The following is a 16,640-nucleotide window of genomic DNA, read 5'->3' on the forward strand; positions in this document are numbered from 1 at the left end:
TTCATCACATTTAGTTTAAGAGGCAGAGATCAGCTAATGCAACAGTTTTCAATCTTTTTCAATAGAAGTGGGTTTGAAACTTGGTCCAGCCACATTCTTACTGGATGGCCTTTCTAAGCCAAAGTTCAATTTTCTTAAATCTGTAAAACAGGGATTAAAAATAGTATGTACCTTACAGTATTACTGTGACGACTAAATGAAATCTTAGCACAAAGCCTGGCAGACAGCCAATGCTATTACTGGCTAAGATCATGGTAGCTATTATTATTATTATTCACCCCTGAATGGATTCTATTTTGCAGCAGTTTGTCCACAAAACTGCATTTATGAATTAGTCATGAATTTACTCTCGCTGACTTTTAGTATTCAGAAACATTAATATCACCCCATCAGAACTTCTCACCGGAAACATCAGTTGTTATAACTTCAATAAAAGATAAAGACCATTTCTAATTAAGTTTAACCTGAGTAGTCTTATTGTCAATGAGTTATAAATATTAGAATTTTAATAAGATTTGTGATACTTTTATGTAGAACTGGCTTAATGCAATTTCATGTTTCAGAAGAGGAAACAGATGTCCAGAGAGGGGACCATGCCTCAGGCCACAAAGCAGCAACACAAACTCAGGTCTCGAACCATGAGGCCCCCCTCTTCAGTCTACTTTGGCTTGTATTTATATCCAACTAAGGGCATACGGAAGGTCTGGTATATTTTACGGGCCATGTCCTTAATCAGGAACCATGCTGAAAACCTATTGGATTATGTGTCTAGAAACTTACCTCATCCTAACCCTAGCCTTTTTTTGGAAACTGCTCTCCCCATCCCCCACCATGGCTCCTGGTGGCCACGTTTGTAAGATATGAATCAACCCCGGCCACAGTCACTGGGCCCAGATTGGGCCCAATAGTCACTGGGCCAGGTTGGGCCAATAGGAATATTTCTTAGGAAGACGGAATGAAGTGGAGAGAGATCTAGTCTTCTCCAGGTGGATAAACATCATTATTGGTTATATTTTCAAAAGGTGTGTCCAGGGAAGCAGAGGAAGCCAAGGTGTAAAAAGAGAAGAAACAAGACCCATTATGACTAGAGATAGGAGAGTCAGATTCCTCATGGCTGTCTCTCTCAGATTCCAGTTTATTTTGAGATCCACTGCATGCTTGCCCTTGGGTTTTTGGAAGCACTGTTGAGTAAATTCTTTCCTGGCTTAAGCTAACATGAGTCTTTTCTCAACTAAGGATTTGAGAAATGGGGTTGTATTCCAGAATGCTGGAGCAGTAAGCAGTCCACACTATATTGCCTACTAGAACCTCATACCTATGGCGAGAGATTTTTCTTGTCCATCTGTAGTGATCCTTTCATTGCTTCAAATCTCTTGAAGGTGTGGCATGCCTCTGGCCATGGTCTCTGAAGACCAGGTCTACAATTGTTCAGACCGCCAACTGCTGTGATATTTTGCTTGTAAAATGTCTAATGATTCTTACCAGACTGTTCTGTTCTTTCCACTTCTACCACCTATTGCCTTGAAAGCAACTTGGGCTTCCACAAAACTTGCATTTCACTGTCTAGTAGAATACTCTTTGCTTCAATGTGGCAGCTATGGCTCCAGAATTTGTGCCTCTTTTGTCACTCTTGTGGGAATCAGAACTCTTCCCCCAGAACACAAAATGAAGGACTAGAGAGAGGTCACAGTGGAGGGAACCACACACATTACAGAACACTATCAACTCTGGAGCTGATGTGGAGGGCACACTCACTGTGAGAGCACATCTAAGTTTGAGCTGGGGCTTCTGCCTAGTTGTAGAGCTTACTCAGAGCTCAGGGAAAATATAGCTCATCAATTGCTGAACCGGGTAGTTAAGCATAAATATGTACATAGGTGTATGTGTATAGAAACGTTTTAAAGAGAATATTTCAGAGGCAAATATTTTAACAAATCAGCCCTCTGCAACACATCGGGAATGTATGCATTTGCAATCTAAAACATGTTTACTTACGCAGGAACTAAGCTTGTTAAAAACTATGAGAAACATTTGGACTCATCCATTCAGCAAATATTTTGTGGTTATGTACTATGTGCTATTTAGCTATGTACAAAATGAATAAAGTTCCTCGCCATTGTGAAACTTCTATCTCCTAGGCATGAAAGCTCAAATGGAAATATTAACAATGGCAAATAGTAATGAAAAGTGCTGTCTATTCAGCACCCCTTATTTCAAACTATTGTGCTAATACAGTTTTTATATGTTATTTCTTATGTTCCACCAGAAGATACACTTCATAAGTGAAGGAACAGTCTTTGTATTCATCATTCTGTGTCCAATGCCTCACCCATATTTGGTCTCAGTAAATATTTGTTGACTAAATAAATGATCCCTCCATAAATTCTGAGTTTGGTATTATTATGCCCATTTAACAGGTGGTAAATTGAGGATCAGAGAGGTTAATAATTTGGCCCAAATCACACAGCAAAAAGAGCTAGGATTTAAACCTAGAGTGTTTTCCAATACACCAAAATATTACTTTTGCATATATTTGTTGGAATAAAGTGTTTTGGAGCTCATGTCACTCTATAATAAGTTGGGTCTGTAGGGATGAATTACAGCACTTGCAGTCCCTGGAATACTATTCTGTGCCAACAAGAGAATGCAATCTCTGATCAAAATGTTAACTTTATGTTACTTACATATCCCAGGCTTCACCAGCCCAGCTAGCGACTAACAATGAGCTATGGTTAACATTAATAACCCAAAGCCCCTGTTTTTGCCTGTCTGCAGGCTCTTTAGCATATCTTTCCTTAAATAAAACCAACCACCCACTCCTCTTACCCCATCTCCACCATACACACACAAATACTTCTTGAAGTTGTTGAAGATCAGCCTACATAGATCTCAAGCCCACTTGTGAGTTGGTCAATAGCCACCATGAGATATCCACAGCTTTTATCTTCTACTGCAGCTTTGCTTTGTCAACCTCTACTGTGAAAGAAGCTGTTGAGGGTAACTACACTGTTACTGCTGTTAATAGTGCCTTCTGGAAAAATAAGGATGATGCCTCTCAGCTCTCCCAAAGCTTCCATCCCTGAGATGGAGCTGGATTCTGTGAAGAACCCAGGAGAATGGCCCAATAACACATGTGTAACCTGCTCCTGAAGCAACACTCATGCATCCTGAGTCTCACAGTGTCTCTCCTTCATGCCAAGCCAAAATGCTCTCTATATGCCCAAATCCAGGGACAGGAAGCCTGGGGGAGTGCAGAGATTCTCAAACATGTTCAGGTAGCAGAAGACCAGGAAGCATGGCTTCCCATGAGCTCTGGAAAGCCATGAGTCATTGATGTTTTAAACTAAAAATAACTAAGTACTATGGTTTTGCTAAATGATTATCCTGACCAATATTAACAGAAAACAGAGTTTAAGCACATGCCCACAAATACACAAACTCCTTACTGAGGAAATTCAACTCATTAACTAATTAACACTGTATATGCGTAAGTGAGAGAGAGACACAGATTGGGAAAATGTCCATGTTATTGTACTTTAACTGCATGGCAAGCACAGGCCATGAAGCACCACTGTTCTGAAAAACACTTGAAAAGGGCTGAGCCCAAGAGTTATTCAGGTGATTTGGGGAGTGTTATTTGCATCTCAGAGTCTATACGATGCCATTCCTCCGAACCTGACATCCTAATCTGTAAGATAAAGTGGTTACACTTGATGTTCTATTGGTCTTCATCCTGCTTTAGCTGTCTGAGACTCCCATTGAAATTAGTAGGCCAGGGTATAGAAAGTTTTGGGGTAAAAGAACATGCTTCAGGGAGAAAAAGCCAAGAGAGGAGGTTTATTGGGTGGTAAGAAGTTTATGATACAGCTCAGAACCTCACTGTCGTCTAATATCTACAAGGGTGGCACTGTAATTATAAGGAATTTTACAGGGAACATTCCCAGCCAGGAATAATATAATTTTAGTCTTTTACCCATACTTCTTAGTGCCTATGCACATGAACTTATTGAGCCCTGTAGACTCCCAGAATGGGTCATAAGTATCATTGTGTCTTTCAGGCAATAAAAGGAGTGTTACCTCTGGGCTCCCAGAGTTACCCACCAACTCAGTGGTCCTCCAGGGGTGGTCTTGGCTCCCCCGGTGGTCTTCAATGGATTTCCAGTGGCCTCTGAGTTACCCTCCTGGAGCAGTCATGCTTGTCAATAGCATTGTCTCTGCTTATGCTCCAGGAGGGGTTTAGAACTCACTTGTGCTGTGCCTTCTGAGAGTTTGCCAGATTTTAACACCATTCTTTTTGTTTCCCTCAGGACATCGTCCATGCCCACCCTGTCCTTCATTTTTACAATGTTAAATTATTGAAGGTGTTAGATGGCCTGAGTGTTGTCTGGTTCTGGCAAGGTAGCTCTTTCCTCCAAAGTGTTAGATTCTCTGCTTCATCCTGGCTTTTGGCTAACATAATACCCTGTAATGCTGAATTTCATACCTTCAAGTGGGCATGGCATTGTTCAGAAGTGTTAGCATAGAAGTCATCTCCTGTTAGAATAACAGTTGTTTTTCTCATCCAAAGGGAAATGTTGGTTGTCAAGATATCACTCAGACCATGCTACTTTCCTGCCTCATAAAAGGCCAAGAAAGGAAACCATGAGAAAATAGAGAAATTATTTGTAGGTCAAGGTTTGTTATTCAACATTAAGGTTTCAGTTTAGTGGAGAGACAGGAAGGAAAAGAACATACACAAGCCCACCCAAACAGTTTATTAATGTCCACATTTTTTTCTTGTTATTGGCTGTTATTTCAAAGGCTCTTGAGTGGATACAGAGTCGTATATTTTTCTAAAGTAGTAACTGTTTGCAAAATTTTATGTTTTATATTGAAGCTCCTATCTATTGGCTCAATTTTTCAATAAAAGAAACTTTAAACCACAACAACCTGAGATCCCTGGAACATTTTAAAACATATTTTGTTTGTTTGACAATAAAATTTCACATCTGGGCTGACAAGCCTTGTGCCAAGTTTCAACCTAATGCAATGTCAAATGGATGAGCTATTACATTCAAGCAAGCAAGAAAACTCAGGCTTCTGATGGTTTCTTGATAGCCCTTTGCCCACAACCTGCTGCTATAATGACAGTGTAGCTCTGCTGAGTGACCAATGAACTCAAATTCCTGCTAGAGACCCTCTTTCTTGGAAAGAAACATTGCATTTTAAATTTACTCTTCATTAAGAGATTATTAGGCAGAGCCCAAGTATCTGGCCTTTTCCATTTATATCATCTGTGCCAATAAATGCTCTCATAAGCCTAGTTGTAAGACTCTAGTTAAACGTGATTTGGCTTATTCAAACTAGTCCTCCTTCAGAGGCTACTGCTTCTTTACTAATTACTTCCTGTTCTCTTTCCTCTGCATAGCAACAGTACTTTATTCAAAACAGAATGTAAGTGGTCTGTAACAAACAAACCCCCCAAATGTGTATGGGCTCATATGTGATCAAGGTTTATTATTTCTTGCTTATATAAAGTTCAAAATATGCTCTCCATCAGCAGCCTGCTCTGCATCAGCATGTGAGGCAGGGGCCCAGGGTCCTTCCCCTGTGACTCTGCCATCTATCTCACGTGAACTTTCTGTATCCACCCAGCATAGGGGAAACAGCACAGCAAATCACATCCAGAGGTATTAAGGACCAGGAGTGGGGTGTCATGTATCACTTCTGTTCACATTCTTTTAGTCAAGACCAAACTGAACCACAAAGAAGTCTAGGAAATGTAGCCCAGCTCTGTGCCCAGGAGGAAATGGGATTGGTGAATCATGATCTGGCCCCACCCCAGCTCTAACCATAACATCAAATGTTATAGCATTCTGAACCCCCACTCCCACCCCACCACAGAGAGTATAGGGGCCTCCAGCCCAGGGACTATCATAGAATCATATCTACCCTTAGATCTGGATCCTGTTCTCTGGGTGAAAAAATGGGTGGATTTCAGCCAGAAAAGGAATACTCTAGACATATTTTATAAATCTTGGACCTCTTTATTATGAGAACAGACTATGAGGCAGAGCAGATGTAGCTGTTAAGGCCGTCTTTTGCAAAATTGAAGAAATTGTCTTTTCTAGTTATAAAAATAATATGCGTTCATTGTAAAAATTCAGAAAAATGCTGAAAACATTTTAAGGAAGATAAAAATCAACAATAATCTTTCTCCAAGATATGCTAAAGAATGTTTATATACACTGATATATTTCTTATGTACATATAATTTGAATTAATTTGTGTCTGCAAAACAGATCATACTGTGTGATATATACTATTTTGCAATCTGCTTTTTCACTTAACAAGATATGTTATGAACATCAATACATGTAAATAAATATAGATCTGCATCATAATTTTTGGCTACATATTATTTGATCATATGGACATGTGTGAGAATCATATAATACATTTAGCTTAGCTGAACAAGTGCAGACTTATTCAGTGAGACCTGGGATTATGTCTATCAGTTTATCCCCACAGCATGCCAAGATATCTTGCTTGTTAAATGAAATTCATAAGAGGCCATGGTTTTGGACTAGCCTCCTGTGCTAGGCTCCCGCAAATCAGACCAAACGGGAATGGAGTCACTCATGCTAGGTGCCACCTGATCCAACTGAGCTCTGAAACAGGCCAGTTTTTAAAAAAAAAAAGAAAAAAGAAAGAAAAAGAAAGGCCAGGAGAGTCATAGCAACCAATCTCAAGGGGCCCAGTTCACTTCAGCCGGCAAGCTAAAGAAGTCCCCTGGGTTTAAACTATACAAGGAAAATAACTTTGAAACAACCAGTCTGCTTTTCCTTTCACTGTTTCTGCTTTCTTCTGCCTTTTTCTGTCTGTAAAGCCCACCTCCTCTACTCAGCTCATGGGAACACTCATTTTATAGAATGTGGTGTTGCCCGATTCTAGAATTGCAAATAAAAGCCAATTAAGATATTTAAAGCAAATTTGTTATACTTTTGTCTTTTAGTATGCTCATGATAGATTCTCAACAGGGCTCAATCAAGCAGACCTTTGCAAAACTGGGGGTGCCTCTCAGGCTTTGGTGCGTATGCACATCACACGGGGATTTTGTTAAAATGCCGATTATGATATAGAAGGTCTAGGTGGGCCATGAGATTCCAGAATTTCAACAAGCTTCCCAGGAGATGCTCAAGCTGATAGACACTAATGTCTATCATTATTCAGCAAAAAGTCCGAAATGGCTTTTTGCACTTTATGAGTATAAAAAACCCCTTGAGGGCTAAATAATTGATTGGAAAAACAAATCTATGGAGTGCATGTATTTATTTGGTTGAAAGATGGCCTGAAGAGCTTTTTATAAATCTATGACCCTACTGGACCAGCAAGGATTTAGACTAGTCAACTAGGGGGGATTTTGCCACCCAAGGGACATTTGGCAAAAATCTAGAGAAATTTTTGATTATTATGATTGTGTATGTGTGTGAGAAAGAAAGGGAGAGGGAGATACTGGCATCTAGTGGGTACAAGCCAGGGATGCTGCCAAACATCCTACAATGCACAGAGAAACCTCCACAACAAATAATTATCTGGCCCAAATTGTCAATAGTGCCACTGTCAAGAAACTGATCTAAACTAGATTTTTTTTCAGATAATATCTCTCATCTGAACCATAGAACACAGAAAATTATTTTTTTGACTATTTTCTCAATTCTCTGAATTCTAAGTAACTGGTAGTAATCTAAATGCCTAAGAGACAGCTAATTCATTACATACAATGGATGCTTTCGGGAATTCCAGCTTAATTCTTGTCCAGAGCTCTTATTTAAAGCTGGTTGTGGCCAGGCATGGTGGCTCATGGCTATAATCCCAGCACTTTAGGAGGCTGAGGTGGGTGATCACCTGAGCTCAGGAGTTCAAGACTAGCCTGCATGACATGGCAAAACCCTGTCTCTACAAAAAAAATAAAAATAAAATAAAATAAATAATATATATATGCCAGGTGTGATGGCGTGCACCTATGGTCCCAGCTATTTGGGAAGCTCAGGTGAGAGGATTGCTTGAGCCTGGGAGGTCAAGGCTGCAGTTAGCCAAGATCGTACCACTGCACTCCAGCCTAGTGGCTCAAGGGAAGTCAAAACCTCATTGTTTCGTTTTTCTCTCTGCCTCCTTGTTTCCCTCCCTATCTCTTTCTCCCTCCCCCCCTCTACTTCCCTCCCTCCCCCCCTCCCCTTCCTTCATGAGTAGAGGGATCTGAAATGACTTTTTACACTTTATGAGTATAAAAAACCCCTTGAGGGCTAAATAATTGATTGAAAAAACAAATCTATGGAGTGCATGGATTTGTTTGGTTGAGAGAGTCTGAAGAGCTTTTTATAAGTCTGTGACCCTACTGGAGCAGTCTTAATGCAGAGCTGTAGCCAATAAAGCAAGTCCAGCCAAAGGTATTCAAGATCTGTACTTGAGTTTCTTGAACACCACAAAAGGGGTAATAGAACACGACAACATTTCAATACAAAGAAAATGTAAACATTTTGTTTTCTTCATTTTCTCGTATATATAGCTGTTCCCTCCCTTTCTTGATTGAAATACCACTCAATTCCTCCACCAGCCTTATCTAGTCTCAGACCTTTTATATTTCTCCCCAGTTACTCCCAATTCTGTGTCATAAAGGATCAAAAAACCAACCTTGCTGAGAAGAATCTTCCTTCTTTTTATTAGGTAGCAAGTGTAAGACTCAGGATTCCAAGAAATAAGCATCAGCCAGGAGGATTTTCAATAAACTCTTCTAGGTTACATTTCTACTCAAGATACCATTAGGTAAAACTGTTCAGTCTTCTGCTGATGAGACACCTTTTCTTGAATAATTTTGAAGTTCCAAACAGATCTGGAGACCCCAAGAAATAGGTCCACTTAAGGCCACGCTCCATGGACATAACATCCCTATGACTTCTCTCTCTACAAGGTAATCAGCCTTCATCATCAAAAGTGAAAATGACATTGATGAGATGCAATTCATGCTGGAGAATAGGGTCTGGAGGCAGGGCCAGTTTGCACCGACTTCCTAGAAATGAATCAAAAGGAAAACTCCAACTTCCCATGCTTAAGTAACAAAAAAACAGAGGCTACTCCCTTTGCAACCCGCACCCCTTTCTGCATCGCAGATGAGAAATGGCAAGTACCTCTGATTGGTCCCCTTCCTACAACCAATCAGACATCTGCATAGGGTATTACTTGGTAACTTCACTTCAGTCTGACTCGTCACCTTCCACAACCCATTAGACTGGTTGTGGGCCACTCCTTTATTTACATAGGGTGTAAACCAACTAACTACTGGGAAACCTCTAAAGGGTATTTAAACCCCAGAACGTTCTATAACCAGTGCTCTGGAGCCGCTGGCGCCTACTCCCACCCTGTGGGGTATACTTTCGTTTCCACAAGTCTGTGCTTTTGTTGCTTCATTCTTTGGTTGCTTTGTTTAATTTGTCCAATTCTTGGTTCAAAACGCCAAGAACTGGGACAAGTTGTAGTCAAGACCCTCCACCAATAACACAATTACGATTCTTCCTTTCCTATTTGGCAGAGTCAGACTTCCTCTTTTCATAAACAGAAATACGAAGTAGCCAGCAGGCCAAAATTGTCAAAACAAAGAGTGAGAGGTAAAGAGTGAAGAACGCCTGGTGATTTCCTTGTTTCACCTTCTTCCAAGCCTTGCTGTGCCATGTGCTCCTGGTGGCAGGTTACCCAGGAAGGAAGCATTGTAACTTTGTGGCTGACCAGGCAGGATGGTCACACGGCTCCTGACGCAGGCCCAGACGTATTCACGAATCACTCCATAGTGATTCTGATGTGCTGCCAGAGTTGAGAACTAAAGATTAAAGCCCTTGGCTAGTCAGGAGGATTCCATTCCTCCCCAACATGGGCTGTACCCTCATTTAACCAATGCCTTGCCAGCCCATGTTAGATGGATGTGATGGTTAATTGTATGTGTCACCTTGACTGAATTATAGGTGCCCATATTAAACCGTATTTCTGGGTATGTCTGTGAGGGTGTTTCCATATGAGTTTAGCATTTGCATCAGTGGACTCAGTAAATTGCTCTTCCCAAAGTGCATGGACACCATCCATTCGACCGAGTGCCCGAGTAGAACAAAAGTCAGAGAAGGGAGAAATTTGACCTTTTTTTCTCCCAGCCCGCCTGCTTGGGTGGGACATCTCATCTTTTCCTGCCCTCTGACTGGGATTTATACCATCTGCTCTCTTGGTTTCCTGGCCTTCGGACTGAATCTGAATTATACCACCAACTTTCCCAAATCTCCAGCTAGCAAAACAGCAGACAGTGGGACTTCTTAGCCTCCACAATCATGTGAGCCAGTTCCTCGTAATAGCTCTGTGTGTGTGTGTGTGTGTGTGTGTGTGTGTGTGTGTGTGTGTGTGTGTGTAAGGTCTCCTATTGATTCTGTTTCTCTGGAGAACCCTAATACAATGGACATCCTGTCTCTTCTAAGAAAACGGTGAGCCACATGCACCCCACAACACACACACACACCTTCCTTTGGTTTCCAGTTGTCTGGCATTTACCTTGGAGCAGAGCTTAAGTCTTTACAGTTGCGTAATTTAGGAGCACACACAAAAATGATGTTAGCAGAGAATATTTGCTAAGCAAATTAACAGTGCAAATAAGATTAGAGGGAGGTAAGGAGTATGTTTAAATGTTGAAATGCTTGAGGACAAACTGTGCTCAATCATCTTAAAACCATCCATTAATATGTAAGTAATTTAAAATTAATTGCAAATGCCTTTGCATTTAATTGCAGGCTATGCATTGTTGGAATGTGTGTGTGTGTGTGTGTGTGTATGTCTGTGTAATTGCTAATATATTTAGATTTCTAAAAGGTATATATATATTGTTAAAATAAGTAAATGACTGCTTTCCAACTGTTCTATGATTCACACATTTATATCACAAACATCCTCAACATACCAGTTTGTATCTATGGATTTGAATGAAATGGCATGACCACTACGGCCCGTATTTTGGAAACAGCAAGCCCCCGACTGTTCTTACAGCACCTTGCAAGATCCCCCACATACATATGGAACTTCCCAAAGAGTAATTTTCATCCATCTGTGAGTCACCTTAGGGGCACTGCCTGTCACTGCCTCTGCTATCCAAGTTCGGCCCCAAAGGGCCTCTGCTGCCTGTCCCACCACGGCCCTGACCTCCAGCACCTGCCTTGGCCTCTGCTGTTTTGCAGCTGCAGTCTCCTGCAGATTCTGTCTCCCTGAACCACATTCTTCCCTTTGACCTGGACCCCTTCCAAAGGGCGTCTTCCTGGCCCAGGTTCAGCTAATTCACTCTGGCCAACAGCACTATCAGTCACCACAAGACCCTGACAGCCTCACAGTCTCGTGTAAATTAGAAAGGAAAATATTCACTGCTTCTATGTCACCTTCAGATGGGTATGTCCCACAGCATGGTTCCTTGGGCCTCAGATTATTACCAGGTTGATTGTAACACCTGTCAGTTCACACTCCCAGCCCCTATTCTTCAAGGAATGGAGAAATGCCACCAAGGCAGCAGGGATGTGAAGATTCCATATCCAGATACCATGCTGTGTGTTCCAGAAATACCAACTCCACTCCAAACAGCAGGCTGACTCTGTGGCTGAGTCTGGCTGGCCAGGCCATATTTATCTTTTTAATTCCATATATTGAATTTTCCCTTCAGGAATCTACTCTTTCTCCCCTCTACCCATGGACCGCCCCCCCTCCCCCAACCACCTCAACCTTTCTAAACATGTTTGCACACATTTGAATCTCATTGAGGACATGGTTCAGGCAGGAACTTACCTCCAGTTTAATCCATTGCTGCCAGTAGATTTGGGAGTAGGAGTGGGGTGGGATGGGGGCAGAAAAGGGTGAGGTATTGATATTCAGCACTTTTCATGATCAAATACAGACACTAAAAATGAATTCATATAAGCATTTTCCTTAATCTACATCAGTGAGGAAACAAACTTCAGAAGTTCACTCATTTCTTCCCCTCATCAACTTTTAAGTTCCAGGGTACATGTGCAGGATGTGTGGGTTTGTTAGAGGTAAATGAGTCCCATGGTGATTTGCCCCACAAATCAATCCATCGCTTAGGTATTAAGCCCAACATCCATTAGATATTTTTCCTTATGTTCTCCCTCCCCTTGCCCCAGTGTGTGTTGTTCCCCTTTTGTGTCCATGTGTTCTCATCGTTCAGCTCCCACTTATAAGTGAGAACATGTGGCATTTGGTTTTCTGTTCATGTGTTAGTTTGTTGGGGATAATGCCTTCCAGCTCCATCCATGTCCCTGCAAAGGACATGATCTCATTCCTTTCTATGGCTGCATGGTATTCCATGGTGTATATGTACCACATTTTCTTTGTCCAATCTATTGTTGATGGGCATTTGGGTTGATTCCATGTTTTTGCTATTGTGAATAGTGCTGCAATGAACATATGTGTGCATCTTTATAATAGAATGATTTATATTCCTTTGGGTATATACCAGTAATGGGATTGCTGGGTCAAATGGTATTTCTGCTTCTAGACCTTTGAGGAATCATCACACTGTCTTCCACAATGGTTGAACTAATTTACACTCCCACCAACAGTGTAAAAGCATTCCTTTTTCTCTGCTACCTCACCAGCATTTGTTTCTTGACGTTTTAATAATTGCCATTCTGACTGGCGTGAGATGGTGTCTCCTTTTGGTTTTGATTTGCATTTCTCCAATGATCAGTGACGTTGAGTTTTTTTTTTTCATATGTTTGTTGGCTGTATGAATGTCATTCAGAAGTTCATTCTACAGTACTCATAGACTTCTACACTAGGAGCATGAGAGAAAATCCAAGTGTATTGGGGTAACATTTTGAAAAATTAAGGTATATATTTTCCATTACATATAGAGATAATTTTTAAGTTGCAAATTAATGAAAAAGGACATTCATGTGAGGTTATTGTTCAGAATAATTTAAAAGACCAGAGAATGAATAATACAGTACATTAAATAATACAACAACACATTCGTGTGGATCTTTTTAAAAGCTCTTTATTCCACATTTACTCCAATTTCCCAAATCTTGATTTAGACAGCATCCCAAGAGAGCTACGAAAAATAATTAGTAGTAGACTAGAACATTGTAATTTAAGTACCACCTTGTCCCACTAGCTCCAAGGAAAGCGTCTCTTGGAATGTTTAGAGATCTAGGAAAAGAGTTGCCTAGACTTTGTCTTTGATACTTTGGGTTTGCCAGCTACTGTCTTGCCCTTAAGATTTATCTTCTTCTGTGGTTTCAACTAACACTCCTACAAAAATGATGCTCAAATCTGCCTCTTCAGCCTTGATCTCTGCTAAACCTTGGATATACAACTCTAGGCCACACCTGACAGTCCTTCCACCTTCATCTAGAGCTCAGTGACTGATACCATATTCACTCATTTCCTTCCCACCATATTCACTCATTTCCCTCCCCCAAACCAAGTCTGTCTCCAGACTTGTCCATTTTCAATCAATCATTCTATTTTGTAATTTTAGTTACTGTAAGAAACTTAGTAAATATTTTTTCAAAGGACTGGGAGGCTTTCAAAAAGAGTTGTTTATTCCCTAGTACTGAGGTGGAAGTGTTTCTACCTCTCTTATTGCTCTTCTGAGGGAAGGAACAAGGCAGAATTATAAGCAGAAGATTATGATGGATGTGGAAAAAAGCTTGAAGGAAGGCAGCTACTATCTGTTGGCTGAGATGGTGAGTGGGCAAGGACTCCAGCACCAGATGCCAATTTGAGGTGAGGCCAGCGGCCTAAAGCCACTGCTCCCACATTCCCAGCATCCCAGGGAGCAGGTTGCTGGGTATGGTACCTCTCCTGGATGTGGTACAGGGTCTCCACTCAGCATGGCCACATGAAGATGGGTACTAAGAATACAGTGATGTCACCAAGCACAGCTGTTGCAATGTCTGCCTTAGAGTTTTGATCACAGCCTGGCTTAGGTTTTGTACTGTTACTGGCTGGGCCTGAGCACATTCTGTGCTTTCTGGCCTTTTCCACACCATGCTCTGCTTTCCCCACCCATTTACTCCACAGCTGCTGCTGCTGCTCATAGCCTATTCTCCATGGTCACTTTTCATGCCAATGTCAAGAGCAAGAATGTGGACTGACAGCTGATATTGACTGGTTCTTTGTCTTCTTGTTGAATTAAACATATTAGAGGGGAGTTGAACTATCCCAACTTTTCCTTTTACATTATTCTTCCAATTTCCAAATTTCCCTTAGTGGCTGAGAACAGAGACTCTCTAGCCAGGCTATCTGGGTTCAAATCCTGTCCCCACATTTTTATGAGCTATTTGGTGTTGGCCAAATTACTTAATTTCTCTGTGCCTCAGTTTCCTCATCTATTAAAAAGGGATAAATAGTTCTTATCTCAAGGGGTTATTGGGGGAATTAAATGATTTAATATATTTAAGGAACTTAGAATAGTGCCTAGCCTTTAACAAGTGCTAGCTATTACAGTTTTTATTACAGAGAAGGTATTCACTTCACAGTAGTGATCCATACCACAGTTGAAATGCTAGCCTTTCTAAGAGTTATAGCCTTATATATATCTAAGGGAGATAGCCTTTCTATCTTCATTAATTTCTATCTTTCATTAATAAAAATAGGTGACATTTATATAGCTAAATTGTAACATGTTACAATTGTAAGGCAGTACACATTCACTATCTCACTAAATCCTGTGAAATAGACAAAATGGAGGCTTTTATTTTACCTAGTGTATAAGCTTTAATAACTTGTCTGAGATCAGAGTTTATAAGTAGTTGAGTTAAAACTTATATTAAAGGCTTTTGACTCCAAATTCTGTACTCTACCTTATTAAGCTGCCTCAAATTTTTATTGATCTATTCAATCAATATTTGTCGTGTGTGGACGGATCTGTGATGAAGGAATAGCTGCCAACAGCAAGACTAAAGGTGGACAAACTGACTTACAGCCATCTGCCCAAGAGTTGTATTCTTCATAGTATAACATTTAATTGGTAAGTTGAATAATCGATTGGATCAGCTCACTAGTTAAAAGAAACTTTTTAAAGAGAGTGACCTCCTAAATCAGTCAGGGTTTGGTCAGAAAGTCAGAAAATTATTCTAGATGTTTTAGCAGGAAGGAATTTAATTCAGGGAATTATGTGCCTATTAGGAAACACGTAATTATGTGCAGTTAGAAGGATTGGGGGAAGTATAAGTCTCAAAGAGCCTCTGCAGCCTTTGAGGAAATTATTAAATGCCTCTGGCAGTTCGAGAACAGGCAGATCATAGGAACTCACCTGGAAGCCACTGCAAACCTCACTTACATCTTCCACAAATCCACCTATTGCTGCCTGAAGGGGAGTCATGATGGCTTGTTCTCTTCTGCCATCTAAATCTCACATCAGTGCCTTTCATTGGATGAATGTGAACCAGAGCTCTGCTGGCAAAGATGTCTGGGAAATGTAGTTTCTCAGCATCCGGTTATGTGAAACAAGGGAATAGGCTTAGAAGGACAAGGACGTTACTGAGTATTGATAAACACTAGTGCTTTTCCCATTGATTTGTAAAATGCCTAGTGATGGGGGCAATTCTCTTCCTCAAGTGCAGGAGGCTGAACCTCATTTAACCGAGACAGGTGTCACCATTAGCTAGTCCCATCACAGTAAAAGTCTGAAAATTTTCCCTTTGCTGCTGTCTTAATGGCAATAAAACTGCCAGAAGGTATGGCTTTTACAATACTCTCCATATATTGGGCCCATATAAAGGAGAATGTTCCAGTTTCAGAAGATCTTGGGGACTTGGGTTGTCATTTGTGTTTCATGATAAATATGTAGGTGATTTGCAAGTAGTAGTCAGGGAAAAGCCCTCACATTGTTCATGGCTCATGTGGCTCTTCAGCATTGGTGGTGGGTCATCTTCCCTTGAATGGCGCACATATTTCACAGTCAGAAACAAGCACCTGATTCCCATGTAGTTCTTGTGAATCTCCCTCTCCGTGCTGACTCTTCTCCCTATATAGTGCTTCCCTCAGAACAATCTCCCAGTCTTTGGCTGCATGTGCCCCCAGTCCAACTCTCCTCCCTCTTCCCACCCACAGTCCAGTAAGCCTTTAGGGCTAAGGGCCTCCCTTTACCTTCTTTCTAATTCCAACCTAACACACCATTCAATTTCCTTTCAGTTCTCAAAGGCATTTCCTCTTGAGAAAACCTGATTCTAACAAATAAAAAAAGTTGGTTTTCAAAACAACTGTTCTGGTAAAGGCTGCAAGAGCTTACTTTGTAAGACCAAAACTGCACATTCAAATATTTTTCTTTAGAGATATTTCTAGAATCAGATCCACATATATACAGTTACTTGATGTATGAGAGGCACAATAAGAAAAGGATCTTTTTTATGTCATGTAGAAATAATTAGATAGCCATATAAAAAAATTAACCTTAACCCTGACCTCACATTATCCTTAAATATTAATTCAGGATGGACAATAGCCTTGAATGTGAAATAAGTATTCTCAAAGAAAACATGGAAGAGTTATCTGTATAACCATGGGACAGGCAACAATTTTTAAAAATTGGGACACAAAGAACCTGCCATAAAATATAA

General features: G+C 40.7%; 1 long non-coding RNA gene across 1 annotated transcript in view, besides 1 other annotated feature; it reads right to left on the reverse strand.

Moving 5' to 3' along the window:
- Positions 1 to 9,062, reverse strand: part of LINC02122 (long intergenic non-protein coding RNA 2122) — a 68,866-nt gene extending 59,804 nt beyond the window's left edge. The window contains exon 1 of the long non-coding RNA NR_183289.1: positions 8,674 to 9,062. This is a non-coding gene — a long non-coding RNA (long intergenic non-protein coding RNA 2122). The remainder of the gene's footprint in view (positions 1 to 8,673) is intronic.
- Positions 2,845 to 3,045: a silencer, noted in NCBI's record as "peak5282 fragment used in MPRA reporter construct". NCBI's record gives its function as "represses an SCP1 promoter by STARR-seq MPRAs in K562 erythroleukemia cells {active_cell/tissue: K562}" and the evidence as "EXISTENCE:reporter gene assay evidence [ECO:0000049][PMID:32103011]".
- Positions 9,063 to 16,640: the final 7,578 nt, after the last annotated feature.

This window comes from Homo sapiens, chromosome 5 (assembly GCF_000001405.40).
Source record: "Homo sapiens chromosome 5, GRCh38.p14 Primary Assembly".
In the NCBI taxonomy this organism is placed as follows: domain Eukaryota; kingdom Metazoa; phylum Chordata; class Mammalia; order Primates; family Hominidae; genus Homo; species Homo sapiens.